This window comes from Homo sapiens, chromosome 22, assembly GCF_000001405.40.
Source record: "Homo sapiens chromosome 22, GRCh38.p14 Primary Assembly".
NCBI lineage: Eukaryota > Metazoa > Chordata > Mammalia > Primates > Hominidae > Homo > Homo sapiens.
Window position 1 is genome coordinate 12080054 of NC_000022.11, and position 16380 is coordinate 12096433.

The following is a 16380-nucleotide window of genomic DNA, read 5'->3' on the forward strand; positions in this document are numbered from 1 at the left end:
TCCTCACTTACGTGAACACCTGATATTCACAGGCTATAACATGGTTAACAAGAAAAAAACCTAGAAATGATGACTAGCTTTGTCTAATACCTCAGTTCTCACAAATACTCTAGATAAACTGTCAAAAATAAGTAAATGTAAATGGATAAATGTCTATACAAGACATCTTAATGTATTTTTGAAATTTTTTTGAGACAGTGTCTCTGTCTGTCACCCAGGCTGAAGTGCAGTGGCATGATCACAGCTCACTGCAACCTTGACCTCCTGTGCTCAAGGGATCCTCCCACCTCAGCCTCCCAAGTAGCTGTTAATTACAGGCATGCACCACCATGGTCAGCTAACTTTTATTTTTTTTGTAGAGTCAGCATCTCACTATTTTGCTCAGGCTGGTCTCATGATACTCCTGCCTTGGCCTCCTAAAGTGTTGGGATTACAGGTGTGAGCCACCATGCCCAGCCTATTTTTGAAATTTTAGTTATGTTAAATTAAATAATAGATACTCATTAAATATCTGGGTTATTTCCAATTTAAAACTTATGTTTTAGCCCAGGCACTGTGGCTCACGCCTGTAATCCCTGCACTTTGGGAGGCCAAGGTTGGTGGCTCACCCGAGGTCAGGAGCTCAAGACCAGCCTGATCAACATAGTGAAACCCCATCTCTACTAAAAAATACAAAAAATTAGCCAGGTGTGGTGGTGGGTTCCTGTAATCCCAGCTACTTGGGAGGCTGAGGCAGGAGAATTGCTTGAACCTGGGGGACGGAGGTTGCAGTGAGCTGAGATAACACCATTGCACTCCAGCCTGGGCAACAAGAGCGAAAATCCATCTTAAAAAATATGTTTTAGGAACACATAATTCTAAATTATGAAATTATTCTCATATGTAAGATACTGCTATATGACAATTCAAGATTTCTTGCTTCCTAGGTTTTTTCTTAAAATAAGGGTTACTAAGTGTTAATATCTTGCTAGATATATGTGATTAAGACTACTAGATACAAGAGAAACAATTCTATATGCAAAATGTATACCGGTTTTTGTTTCAGAAAAAGTAAATTCGCTTAGAGATTTTTAAGGATTTTTTTAAATTGAAGGAATAAAAAAGATAGATAAAACTAAATGTGTATAAAAAGTTGGGAAAGATGAAAAAATTATACAAGGTTATTAAAAGTTTATGTAAATCTTACATCGAGGTCAAAACTGATTGAGATCAGATAGTTTATAAAGTTTATTTAAATTAGCTGTAATATTAAAAACATAGTGATAAAAAACTAAAAATTTTGGTTAAAACAACAAGGTTTTCTTAAGGTATTTATTTGCTCATAATAAGAGGTAATAAATATTGACTTTTAATCCTGAAATCTGTTACTATAAAAACTTTTCAGATTTGTATATCAGAAGTTCAACTTTTCCTGTACTTTCATGTTACACATGACTCACAGATCACATCATTGTCTCCTGTTCCTTCTTGAGAAGGAATAAAAGGTTTGGGTTTCCTGCTTGGCTGCGATGATAACTCCTTCAGATTTTTCATCAGGTCTAATTTTGTACTCTTGGCTTTTAAATATGTCTTAATTACTTCATGTAACCAGGAAACTTCCATGCTATCATTGTGAGCTATGGATCCCCACTGCTCTATGCTCTGGTTTTCCTGTTTACATTCCTTTGTAATATTATGCTCACTCATGACCCTGGACACACTCTTTCTATGTCTAAATTCAAGTCTCCTTATCATCGGAATTGACTTCCAAGTGATTTAAATTAGCTTCCCGTAAGAAGACACAGTTATGCCACAGGAGTTTTACCCTTTAAATGACTGGCCTGTAATAAAGATTTTAGGTTTTATCAAGATAATCCATGTGTTGCCTTTATTTTTTTTTAATTACTTGGGAAAACTGAGGGTTTTCAGTTTTCACATCCATGTAACCTTCTATGTTGCTTTTGATGTCTTTTGGTTGTCATGCTAATTAAATGAATGACTGTTATTTAAAAATGACATGTGGCTGTGTGCAGCGGCTCTTGTCTGTAATTCCAGCCCTTTGGGAGGCCAAGGTGGGTGGATCACTTGAGCCCAGGAGTTCAAGTCCAGCCTGGGCAAAATGGCAAAACCCCATCTCTACTAAAAATACAAAAGCTAGCTAGGTGTGGTAGCAAGTGCTCATAGTCCTGGCTACTTGGGAGACTAAGGTGGAGGATCACCTGAGCCTGGGAGGTTGAGGCTGCATTGAGCCATGATTTCACCACTGCACTCCAGCCTGGGCAATAGGGTGAGACCCTGTCTCAAATATATAATAAAATAAAAAACAATAAACTGTCATTCTGTTTTGGTCAAATGTTTTCAATTTTTTTACATCTTTGCTAAAATTTAGTTGATAACTTTGTATGGGAAGCATTGCCAAAAGATAAGTCTAAATCTTCTTTTTTTTTTCTCTAAGACAGAATCTTGCTTTGTCACCCAGGCTGGAGTGCAGTGGCGTGATCTAGGTTCACTGCAACCTCTGCCCCAAGGTTCAAGCGATTCTCCTGCCTCAACCTCCCAAGTAGCTGGGACTACAGACACATGCCACCATGCCCGGCTAATTTTGTATTTTTAGTAGAGACAAGATTTCTCCATGTTGGCGAGGCTGGTGTCGAAGTCCTGACCTCTGATGATCTGTCCAACTTGGCCTCCCAAAGTGTTGGAATTACAGGCATGAGCCACTGTGCCTGGTCTAAATCTTCTTTTGGTTACATTTACAGGTATATTATTAATATAAATATTTTAAATGTTATATAAATTATAAAAATCTAATATGGTATCAGTCATAATTTTGATGATGTTAAATATTCTCTAAAGTTGTATATGTATAGATATATTATTAATATAAATATTCTAAAGATTATATAAAATTTGTGGAAGTCTGATGGATCTGATGTGTTGCCGTCAGTCATGATTCTGGCTTTTATCTTAAAATGCTACATATAATAGAAATAACTAAATTTTCTCTCCAGTTGAGAACTTCCATTGGATTTTAACCAAAGGATATTCTAAGTTTTTTTCATCCACGGTGATTGTTTAAAGTTCTTCTCTAAAACCCTTTACAGGCCAGGCATGCTGCTGGAGGCTGTGCAGGGCACGGTGCTGGGCATGGTGCAGGGCATGGTGGCTCATGCGTGTAAAAATCCCAGCACTTTGCAAGGCCGAGGTGGGTGAATTGCTTGAACTCAGAAGTTGAAAGCATCCTGGGCAACATGGTAAAACCCTGTCTCTACAAAAATACAAAAATTAGCCAGCATGATGATGCATGCCTATGGTCCCAGCTACTTTGGAGGCTGAGGTAGGAGGATGGCTTGAGTTTACCAGGGAGAGATTGCGGTGAGCCAAGATCATGCCACTGCACTCTATCCTGAGTGACAGAGCCAGACAATGTCTCAAAAAAAAAAAAAAGCCTTTACAATCAGCTATCATCTAAATTACTTTTAATGGAAAGGACTCTGACAAGTTCTCTTAAATATGGTCTCAGATAACTTTGGGGATCATTCTGTTGGACTAGGAAAATCTTCCAGGACTCTAAAAAGCTGAATGAGAATTTCCAATTGAAATCAAGCAAAACACAAAAAACTGAATGAGAATTGCTATTTGAAATCAAGCAGAACAAGATTTAGTTACATGGGACTGAACTTATAAAAGAAGGAAAAGATTTTATTCATGGCTCTTCCATAGGAAACATTGTTGATTCTCTTTACGTTTTGTTTTCCAAAGTCAAGAATTTTTTTCTTTTCAGCTATTTTTAACTTACCATACATTAGATAAACTACATTGTGAACAAAAATTTGAGCCATTTATCTGTCTCTCTAACTGATTTCTCCAGAATTCAGAAGCCATTCGTGAGCATTCCTAAATTATGGCAATATAATTATTTGCATAATTTCAATAAGAATCTGTTTTTGGTAACAGGATTCAATTGGAGACACTGTTTGTTTTATCAAGGCTTTAACTCGAACGGCAGATACAACCAGACCACTTTAAGGAATTGAGGTTGACTCTATAGCACCAATACAAAGCCCCTTAGAATGACTGGCTTGGTGTCCTGTCTACAAGGGTCATTTAGAAAGTTGCTGTCCTTGTGGAAAGAAGTAAAGAATGTCAATTTCTGACGGGCCCAGGAACCTTAAGTTATTTGGGGAGCTTGAGAAGAGAGGACTACACCAATTCATAAAAGTATTACAGGAGGGCTGGCAAGATGTCTGAAAAGGAACAGTTCCGGCCTGCAGCACCCAATGAGATCAACACAGAAGGCAGGTGGTTCATGCATTTCCAACAGCCTCCACTGGTGATACCCATGCAAACAGGGTCTGGAGTGGACCTCCAGCATCTCAAGCAAACCTGCAGCAGAGGGACCTGACTGTTAGAAGGAAAACTAACAAACAGAAAGGAATAGTCTCAACATCACCAACATCAAAGAACAAAGATAAATAAATCCACAAAGATGGGGAGAAACCAGTGCAAAAAGGCTGAAAACTCCAAAAGCCAGAATGCCTCTTCTCCTCCAGAAGATCACAACTCCCCACCAGCAAGAGAACAAAACTGGACAGACAATGAGTTTGATGAATTGACAGAAGTAGGCTTCAGAAGGCGGGTAATAACAAACTCCTCCGAGCTAAAGGAGCATGTTCTAACCCAATGCAAGGAAGCTAAGAGCCTGAAAAAAAAAGGTAGAACGAATTGTAAACTAGAATAACCGGTTTAGAGAAGAATATAAATGACCTGATGGAGCTGAAAAACCGAGCAAAGGAACTTAATGAAGCATACACAAGTATCAATAGCTGAATCAATCAAGCAGGAGAAAGGATATCAGAGATTGAAGATCAACTCAATGAAATAAAGCAAGAAGACAAGATTAGAGAAAAAAGAGTGAAAGAAATGAACAAAGCCTCCAAGAAATAGAGGACTATGTTAAAAGACTGAATCTATGTTTGATTCGTGTACTTGAAAGTGACAGAGAGAATGGAACCAAGTTGGAAAACACTCTCAACTATATTATCCAGGAGAACTTCCCCAACCTAGCAAGACAGGCCAACATTCAAATTCAGGAAATACAGAGAACACCACTAAGATACTCCTGAAGAAGAGCAACCCCAAGACACAAAATCATCAGATTCACCAAGGTTGAAATGAAGGAAAAAATATTAAGGGCAGCCAGAGAGAAAGGTTGAGTTACCCACAAAGGGAAGCCTATCAGACTAACAGTGGATCTCTTGGCAGAAAGCCTACAAGCCAGAAGACAGTGGGGGCCAATATACAACATTCCTAAAGAAAAGAATTTTCAAGCCAGAATTTCATATCGAGCCAAACTAAGCTTCATAATTGAAGGAGAAATAAAATCTTTTACAAGCAAATGCTGAGAGATATTGTCACCACCAGGCCTGCCTTACAAGAGCTTCTGAAGGAAGCACTAAACACGGAAAGGAACAACTGGTAACAGCCACTGCAAAAACATACCAAATTATAAAGACCATTGACACTATGAAAAAATTGCATCAACTAATGAGCAAAATAACCAGCTAGTATCATAATGACAGGATCAAATTCATACATAACAATATTAACCTTAAATGTAAATGAGCTAAATGCCCCCAATTGAAAGACACAGACTGGCAAATTGGATAAAGAGTCAAGACCCATCAATGTGCTGTACTCAGGAGACCCATCTCATACACATAGGCTCAAAATAAAGGGATGGAGGAACATTTACCAAGCAAGTGGAAAGCAACAAAAGGCAGGGGTTGCAATCCTAGCTTCTGATAAAACAGATCTTAAGCCAACAAAGATCAAAAGAGACAAAGAAGGCGTTACATAATGGTAAAGGGATCAATGCAACAAGAAGAGCTAACTATCCTAGACATATATGCACCCAATACAGGAGCACTCACATTCATAAAGCAAGTTCTTAAAGACCTACAAAGAGACTTAGACTCCCACACAATAATAGTGGGAGACTTTAACACTCCACTCTCAATATTAGATCAATGAGACAGAAAATTAACAATAATATCCAGGACTTGAACTCAGTTCTGGACCAAGTGGACCTAAAAGATCTCTACAGAACTCTCCACCGCAAATCAACAGAATATACCTTCTTCTCAGCACCACATTGCACTTATTCTAAAATTGACCACATAATTGGAAGTAAAACTCTCCTCAGGAAATGCAAAAGAATTGAAATCATAACAAACAGTCTCTCAGACCACAATGCATTCAAATTAGTATGCAGGATTTAGAAACTCACTCAAAACCTCACAACTACATGGAAACTGGGTGACCTGCTCCTGAATGACTACTGGGTAAATAACTAAATGAAGGCAGAAATAAAGATGTTCTTCAAAACCAATGAAAACAAAGACACAACGTCCCAGAATCTCTGGGACACATTTAAAGCAGTGTGTAGAGGGAAAATTTATAGCACTAAATGTCCACAAGAGAAAGCAGGAAAGATCTAAAATTGACACCTTAACATCAAAATTAAAAGAACTAGAGAAGCAAGAACAAACAAATTCAAAAGCTAACAGGAGACAAGACACAAATAAGATCAGAGCAGAATTGAAGGAGATAGAGACATGAAAAACCCTTCAAAAAATCAATGAATCCAGGAGCTGGTTTTTTGAAAACATCAACAAAACAGACCACTAGCCAGACTAATAAAGAAGAAAAGAGAGAAGAATCAAATAGATGCAATAAAACATGATTAAGGGGATATCACCACTGATCCCACAGAAATACAAATTATCATCAGAGAATACTACAAAGACTAAACAAGGAAGAAGTGAAATTCCTGAATAGACCGATAACAAGTTCTGAAAATGAGGCATTAATTATAGCCTACCAACCAAAAAAATTCCAGGACCAGACGGATTCACAGCCGAATTCTATGAGAGGTACAAAGAGGAGCTGGTACCATTCCTTCTGAAACTATTCCAAACAATAGAAAAAGAGAGAATCCTCCCTAACTCACTTTATGAGGTCAGCATCACCTTGATACCAAAACCTCACAGGGACACAACAAAAAAAAGAAAATTTTAGGCCAATATCCCTGATGAGCATCGATGCAGAAATCCTGGATAAAATACTGGAAAACTGAATCCAGCAGCACATCAAAAAGCTTGTCCACCATGATCAAGTCAGCTTCACCCCTGGGATGCAAGGATGGTTCAACATATGCAAATCAATAAATGTAATCCATCACATAAAGGGAACAAATGACAAAAACTGCATGATTATCTCAATAGATGCAGAAAGGGCCTTTGACAAATTTCAACAGCCCTTCATGCTAAAAACTCTCAATAAACTGGTATTGATGGAACATATCTCAAAATAGTAAGTGCTATTTATGACAAGCCCACAGCCAATAACATACTGAATGTGCAAAAACTGGAAGCATTCCCTTTGAAAATCAGCACAAGACAAGGATGCCCTCTCTCACTACTCCTATTCAACATAGTATTGGAAGTTCTGGCCAGGGCAATCAGGCAAGAGAAAGAAATAAAGGGTATTCAATTAGGAAAAGAGGAAGTCAAATGGTCTCTGTTTGCAGATGACATGATTGTATATTTAGAAAACCCCATCATCTCCACCCAAAATCTCCTTAAGCTGATAAGCAACTTCAGCAAAGTTTCAGGATACAAAATCAATGTGCAAAAATCACAAGCATTCCTATACAGCAATAACAGACAAACAGAGAGCCAAACTGTGAGTGAACTCCCATTCACCATTGCTATAAAAAGAATGAAATACCTAGGAATGCAACTGACAAGGATGTGAAGGACCTCTTCAAGGAGAACTACAAACCACTCCTCAAGGAAATAAGAGAGGACACAAACAAATGGAAAATCATTCCATGTTCATAGATAGGAAGAATCAGTATCATGAAAGTGGCCATACTGCCCAAAGTAATTTATAGATTCACTGCTATCCCCATTAAACTACCATTGACTTTCTCCACGGAATTGGAAAAATATACTTTAAATTTCATATGGAATCAAAAAAGAGCCCGAATAGCCAAGATAATCCTAACCAAAAAGAACAAAGCTGGAAGCATCATGGTACCTGACTTCAAAATATACTACAAGCTACAGTAACCAAAACAGCATGGTGCTGTTACCAAAACAAATATATAGATCAAAGGAACAGAACAGAGGCCTCAGAATTAACACCACACATCTACAGCCATCTGATCTTTGACAAACCTCAGAAAAACAATCACTGGGGAAAGGATTCCCTATTTAATAAATGGTGTTGGGAAAACTGGCTAGCCATAGGCAGAAAGCTGAAACTGGATCCTTTCCTTACACCTTATACAAAAATTAACTCAAGATGGGTTAAAGACTTAAACATAAGACCTAAAGCCATAAAAACCGTAGAGGAAAACCTAGGCAATACCATTCAGGACATAAGCATGGGCAAAGACTTCCTGACTAAAACACCAAAAACAAAGGCAACAAAAGCCAAAATTGACAAATGGGACCTAATTAAACTAAAGAGCTTCTGGACAGAAAAAGAAACTATCAGAATGAATGGGCAACCTACAAAATGGGAGAAAATTTTTGCAATCTATCCATCTGACAAAGGGCTAATATCCAGAATCTACAAAGAACTTAAACAAATTTACAAGATAAAACAACCCCATTGAAAAGTGGGCGAAGGATGTGAACAGACACTTCTCAAAAGAGGACAATTATGCAACCAACAAACTTATGAAAAAAAAAGCTCAACATCACTAGTCATTAGAGAAATGCAAATCAAAACCACAATGAGATACCATCTCATGCCAGTTAGAGTGGCGATCATTAAAGAGTCAGGAAACAACAGGTACTGAAGAGGGTGTGGAGAAATAGGAAGGCTTTTACACTGTTGGTGGGAGTGTAAATTAGTTCAACCATTGTGGAAGACAGTGTGGCTATTCCTCAAGGATCTAGAACTAGAAATACCATTTGGCCCAGCAATCCCATTACTGGATATATACCCAAAGGATTATAAATCATTCTACTATAAAGACACATGCACATGTATGTTTATTGCAGGACTGTTCACAATAACAAAGACTTGGAACCAACCCAAATGCCCATCAATGATAGACTGAATAAAGAAAATGTGGCACATATACACCATGGAATACTATGCAGCCATAAAAAAGGATGAGTTCATGTCCTTTGCAGGGACATGGAAGAAGCTGGAAACCATCATTCTCGGCAAACTAACACAAGAACAGAAAACCAAACACCACATGTTCTCACTCATAAGTGGGAGTTGAACAATGAGAACACATGGTCACAGGGAGGGGAACATCACACACTGGGGCCTGTTGGGGGGTGGGGGAAGGGGGAGGAATAGCATTAGGAGAAATGTCTAATATAGGTAATGGGTTGATGAGTGCAGCAAACCACCACAGAATATATATACCTATGTAACAAACCTGCACTTTCGGCACATGTACCCCAGAACTTAAAGTATAATTTTAAAAAGTAGGTTAAAAAAGTATTACAGACACAGTCTGATGCAAATCTTTGACTTGGCTAGCGTCAAGGCTCTTAAAAGTCTAAGATTCCTTATTTCAAATTTCCAACAAAGCCAATTTTAAGAAGCCTGTATGGCCAATAAATATTCTTGCTGCACTTTATGGAAATAATCAGGCCAGGTATGATAAGACTAAAACTTATTTTGCATACAAAATTGGTCCTACTATGATTTGTCTTTGATAAAATGATGGACTAGAGAAAATTTTTGTTCCAAAAGAAAACTATGACATATGCTATTAGATTCCAACCCTGATCATTGTTTTAGAGTTTTTATTATTTGCCTATAATTTGGGCTGAATCCTGAATTATTTCCTGGATCCAAGTGTTCCCTAGTGAATCTGAATATAATATATTTTTAAAAACTTCTTTTATCCTGTCAGGAATGAGATGTATTTTTTGAAGGACTACTTAAACTAGCAATTACAATTCGATTATTATGATTATAGAATCTCGGGATTTCTCTTCCTTCTTGTCAAGGTCTTTACTTGATGTTTGTCTCATTAAAAAAAAAATGAGACTGATTACACTCTACTCAAGACTGAAGACATGTACTTTAACCTGTCTCTGTTACCAGTAAACCAAAGCCTTAACTTTCAGAATCTGTCAGGGACACTGTGTGGTCCCTGGATCAACCACCCATGGGCTTATGAATGTGTTGACTGCTGGCATATGAGAAGTAATTGTCTATTAGGTTATGTGACTCTTCCTCTTTCTATTTATAACTCCAATGTTTCTGAACACTGAAGTAATTCATCGAAATTACTTTCCAGGATTAGACAAACCTTACCTGCACACCAAGGAGATGAATTTTGGCCTATGTTTGGCAGAAGTCACTTGCAATGGTGGGGAGTAACCTCTCATGAACGTATAATTAGAAATCTGTCAACCAACCACTCTAGGTAACTTAGCAAATGAACCAGCTGAAGCCATAGCTACCAAACAAAGATCTTTAGACTCTTTAGCCAGGATAGTCATGGATGATGGAATAACTTTAGGCTACATAGTGGTGAAACAGGGAGAAATTCATATGGCAGCTAGCTAACACATCATGTTGTGTTTAGATCCATGCATCTTCTGAAGTTGAAACACATGTAAAAAAATAAGACAATATGAGAATTAATTATGACAAATCCTAGGGAAGAGGCTGAAAGAGCTGTAACACAAACAGGGCTGAGACATGCCCCTTGCTAGCCACATTGTGGGCAAAGAGAAGGAAAGAAGAGCTGTGACCCTTTGGGAAGCCCAGACCTGGGAGCTCCCCGAGCCAGGGCTGTGATTCCCTCTTTGGGGCCCTGTGGTTCCTGGTATCTCCAAGCTTCTGGGTGCCACTGTGTTCCCAGTGTGCCAGCTGTGGAAGCTGCTTGCGGTGCCCGTGGTCCAGCCACAGACTTGTGGAGAGCTGGTACCCATGTTGGCACCTGGAGTTACCTGCTCCACTGCAGCAGCCAGGAAGTCTGACTGCACAGTGGCCAGACCCCATGCTTGCTCACACACCCCTTGCCACTCCGCGCAGTCTCCCTTGGCAAACATGGGATCCAACCTGGTAGCATGAGCTGAGCACAGCCTGCCAGGCTGAGTGGGCGGGGCCCAAGCAAAACTCAGGTAAAGGTGCCACCAGCCATAGAGTTTTCTGTCCAGAAAAGTGACACTCCAAAGATCCCGTAACACCGCTACTCTTCCCAACCTCTGGAAACTCTCAGTCTACTCTCTATCTTGATGAGTTCAATTGTTTTAATTTTTAGCTCCCACAAATGTGTGAGAACATGCAAAGTCTTTCTGTGCCTGGCTCATTGTACTTAACATAATGTCCCCTAGTTCCATCCACGTTGTTGCAGATGACAGAATCTTATTCTTTTTCATGGCCGAAGAGTACTCCATTGTGTACATGTACTACATTTTCTTTATCCCTTCATCTGTTGATGCACACTTAGGTTGCTTCCAAATCTTGGCTATTATGAATAGTGCTGAAATAAATATGGGAATGCAGATAACTCTTTGATATACTAATTTTCCCTCCCTTGGGTATATACCCAGCATTGCTGGGTTGCTGCATTGCAGGATTGCTGTATCATATGATAGTTCTATTTTTAATTTTTTGAGGGACCTCCATATTGTTCTCCATAGTGAATGTACTAATTTACATTCCCACCAACAGAGTAAGAGGGTTCACTTTTCCCCACATTCTTGCAAGCATTTGTTATTGCCTCTCTTTTGCATAAAAGCCATTTTAATGGGGGTAAGATGATATCTTATTGTAGTTTTGATTTGAAATGCTCTGATGATCAATTATATTGAGCACCGTTTCATATACCTATTTGACATTTATATATCTTCTTTTTTGTTTTTGCTCATTTTTTGAGACAGGGTCTCACTCTGTCACCCAGGCTGGAGTGCAGTGGTATGATGATGGCTTACTGTAGTTTTGACTACCAGGGTTCAAGCAATCCTCCCACCTCAGCCTCCTGAGTAGCTGGGACCACAGGCATGCATCACCATGCCCAGATAGTTTTTAAAATTATTTGCTATGTTTTTCAGGTTGGTCTTGAACTCCTGGGCTCAAGTGGTCCACCTGTCTTGGCTCCCCAAAATGCTGGAATTACAGGTGAGAGCCACCGCGCCTGACCTGTGTGCCTTCTTTTGAGAAATGTCTGTTCAGATTTTTTGCCCATTTAAATAATTGGATTATTAGTTTTTTTTTCTTATAGAGTTGTTTGAACTCCTTATATATTCTGGTTATTAATCCCTTGTCAGATATATAGTTTGCAAATATTTTCTTCCATTCTGTGGATTGTCTTTTCACTTTGTCCATTGTTTTCTTTACTATGCAGAAACTTTTGAACTTCATGTGATACCATTTGTTCATTTCTGCTTTGGTTGACTGGGCTTTTGGGGTATTACTCAAGAAATCTTTGCCCAGACCAATTTTCTGGAGAGTTTCCCTAATGTTTTCTTTCACTAGTTTCTTGTCCTTGATTTAAGTCTTTAACCCATTTGGATTTGATTTTTGTATATAGCGCAAGAGAGGGTTCTAGTTTAATTATTCTGCCAATGACTTTGGGAGGCTGAGGTGGGCAGATCATGAGGGCAGGATATCGAGACCATCCTGGCTAACACAGTGAAACTCCGTCTCTACTAAAAATACAAAAAAAAAATTAGCTGGGTGTGGTGGGGGCACCTGTACTCCCAGCTACTTGGGAGGCTGAGGAGGAGAATGGTGTGAACCAGGGAGGTGGAGCTTGCAGTGAGCCCAGATCGTGCCACTGCACTGCAGCCTGAGCAACAGAGCTAGACTCCATCTCAAAAAAAAAAATTATTCTGCCAATGAATATCTAGTTTTCCCAGCACAATTTGTTGAAGAGACTGTCCTCTCCCCCATGTATATTCTTGGAATCTTCATTGAAAATGAGTTATTTGTAAATGTAAGGATTTATTTCTGGTTTCTCTATTCTGTTCCATTGGTCTATGTGTCTGTTTTATGCCAGTATCATGCTGCTTTGTTTACAATTGCCCTGTAGTATAATTTAACGTCAGGTGATGTGATTCTTCCAGTTTTGTTCTTTTTGCTAAGGATGGCTTTGGGTATTCTGGGTCTTTTATGATTTCATATAAATTTTAGGATTTTTTTTCTGTTTCTGTGAAGAATGTTATTAGTATTTCAATAGGGATTGCATTGAATCTGTAGATTGCTTTGTGAAGTATGTGTATTTTAACAATATTTACTCTTCCATTCAATGAACATGGACTATCTTTCCATTTTTTTGGTGTCTTCTTTAATTTTTTTGCATTGGTGTTCTATAGTTTTCATCGTAGAGATCTTTCACTTCTTTTGTTACATTTATTCCTAGATATTTTATTTTATTTGTAGGTATTGTAAATGGGAGTATGTACTTTATTTTCTGCTTTAGATTGTTCATTTTTGGCATTTAGAAATGCTACTGAGTTTTGTATTTTGATTTTGTATCGTGTGACTCTGAATTTGTTAATCAGTTCTAATAGCTTTTTGGTGGAGTCCTTAGGTTCTTCCAAATATAAGATCAAATCACCTGCAAACAAGAAAACAATAATAATTTTACTTCTTTCAATTTGGATGCCCTTTATTGTTTTTCACTTTTCTGTATTGCTTTAGCTAGGACTTCCAGTACTATGTTGAGTAACAGTGTTGGAAGTGGACATTCTTGCCTTGTTCCAGATCTTAGAAGAAAGGCTTTCAGGTTATCTCTGTTCAGGATGATACTGGCTGTTGGTCTGTTGCATATGGTTTTTATTGTGTTGTGGTATGTTCCTTCTAAATCTAGCTTTTTTTAGGGTTTATTTGTATCACAGGGATGTTGGATTTTATTAAATGCTTTTCAGCATCAATTGAAATTACCATATGGTTTTTGTCCTTCATTCTGTTGATATGATGTGTCACATTGATTGATTTGCATATGTTGAACCATGTTGGCATTCTTGAGGTAAATCCCACTTAGACATGATGAATGGTCTTTTTCATAGAAAGAGTATGGAAATACTACAGCCTTCTTTGTTTTTTGGAATAGTTTGGGTAGGATTGATAGTAATTCTTCCTTCGATGTTTGGTAAAATTAATCAGTGAAGCCATTGGATCCAGGCTTTTCTTTGCTAGGAGTTGTTTTATTATGGGTTCAATCTCATTTATCCATTTCTTCTAGGTTTGTTTTTTGGTTGTTTTTGGTTTTTTGTGGGTTTTTTTGTTTTTGTTTTTGTTTTGTTTTGTTTTTTTTTTTTGAGATGGAGTCTTTCTCTGTCACCCAGGATGGAGCTTGATACAATCTCAGCTCACTGCAACTTCTGCCTCCCATGTTCAAGTGATTCTCCTGCCTCAGCCTCAGGAGTAGCTGGGAGTAGAGGTGCACACCACCATGCCTGGCTAATTTTTGTATTTTTAGTAGAGATGGGGTTTCACCATGTTGGCCAGGCTGGTCTTGAACTCCTGACCTCAGATGATCACCTGCCTTGTCCTCTCAAAGTGTTGGGATTACAGGCATGGGCCACGGTGCCTGGCCATTACTTGCAGGTTTTTCAATTTACTGGAATATAGTTGGTCATAGTAGTTTCTAATGATTCTTTGAATTTCTGCAGTATCAGTTGTAGTGTCTCCTTTTTAATCTCTGGTTTTATGTATTTGAGTCTTCTCTCTTTTCTCTTAGTCTGGCTAAATGTTTGTTGATTTTGTTGATCTTTTAAAAAATATTAACTTTTCATTTCATTGATATTTTATATTTTTCAATTTCAATTTCATTTATTTCTGCTCTGATCTTTGCTATGTTTCCTTCTACTAATTTTGGTTTTGGTTTGCTCTTGCTTTTCTAATTATTTAAGATGCATTATTAGGTTGTTTATTTGAAGTTTTTCTACTTTTTTTGATGTAGATGCTTTTTGCTATAAACTTACTCATTAGTACTGTTTTTGCTGTATCCCATGGTTTGATTTTGTTTTTTTGTTTTTGTCTTTTTTTTTTTTTTGAGACAGAATCTCTCTCTGTTGCCCAGGCTGGAGTGCAGTGGCTCAATCTTGGCTTACTACAAGCTCTGCCTTCTGGGTTCATGTCATTCTCCCACCTGAGCCTCCCGAGTAGCTGGGACTACAGGTGCCCACCACCATGCCAGGCTAATTTTTGTTTTTTGTATTTTTAGTAGAGACAGGGTTTCACCGTGTTAGCCAGGATGGTCTCGATTTCCTGACCTCGTGATCCGCCCGACTCGGCCTCCCAAAGTGCTGGGATTACAGGTATGAGCCACTTCGCCCGGCCTGTATCCCATAGGGTTTGGTTTGACTTTAAAGTTTTTCTTTTCTCAAAAACTCAGTGTCGTGGTACCGGCTTCTAGTGCTCTGGGCAGTGAGACCCTTTTACTTGATAACTGGTAGCTGGGACAACTTGGCAATGTAAATAAATAAACGGCATCTAGATTAAAAAGGAAGAAGTACAGTTATCTTTATGTACAGATGACATGATCTTGCATTTAGAAAATCATAAGAAATTTACTAAAAAGTGGTAGGACTCATTAACAAATTTAGGAATGTAACACTATGTAAGATTGGTATACAAAAATAACTGTATTTCTTTACCAAGAAATCAAGAATCCAAAAATGGAATTACAAAAATAAATCTTGTTACAATAGAATTAAAGCTGGGGTAACTTTAACATAAGAAGCTTAAACTTGAACACTAAAAACATGGTTAGTGTTGGAAACACCCAGGTACCATCCCTGAGCCTTCTCTCCTTGGCTCTGAGGACTTTACCTTCATGGGGTGAAGAAAGGGGTTGCATTCTTGGCTTTTACATAATATTAGGTGGGTTCAGGGTGAGGTATCTGCAAGTCAAATGAGTATTACAATCTCTACTTTTATGTATAAGAGACTGAGGACCACAAAGAGAGAGAATGACAATCCATATCCTGGAAGGCGAATTGTCAGGCACTGATTTCCCCTATGTAACCCCTGCCAGTCATCGTGTATTCAAAGGATCCCCAGATACCTTACCAATAGGTGTTCAAGAGAGAGGCCTGTAATCTAGGCTTCTGAGAAAACAAGGCTAGAGTTTCCAATATTGGAGAAAACAGGGCTCTGGGAAGATTAAGGTTGAGTTTTCTGGATCTGCGGAATAGAGTCACTGAGGACCAATTGCAAGATCAGAGGAGAGGAAAGAACAAGTCAGGTCATGCTTAGGAAAAGAGAATACCAGGGATAGGTTTTAGGCAAGAGTCACACTGAGGAAGGGCAGGTTCTTGGCATCGCTCAGGAAGGAATCCAAAAGCAAGCCTGTGGTGGAAGAAAGCAGCTCTACAGGGGCACTGGCGGTGTTACAGC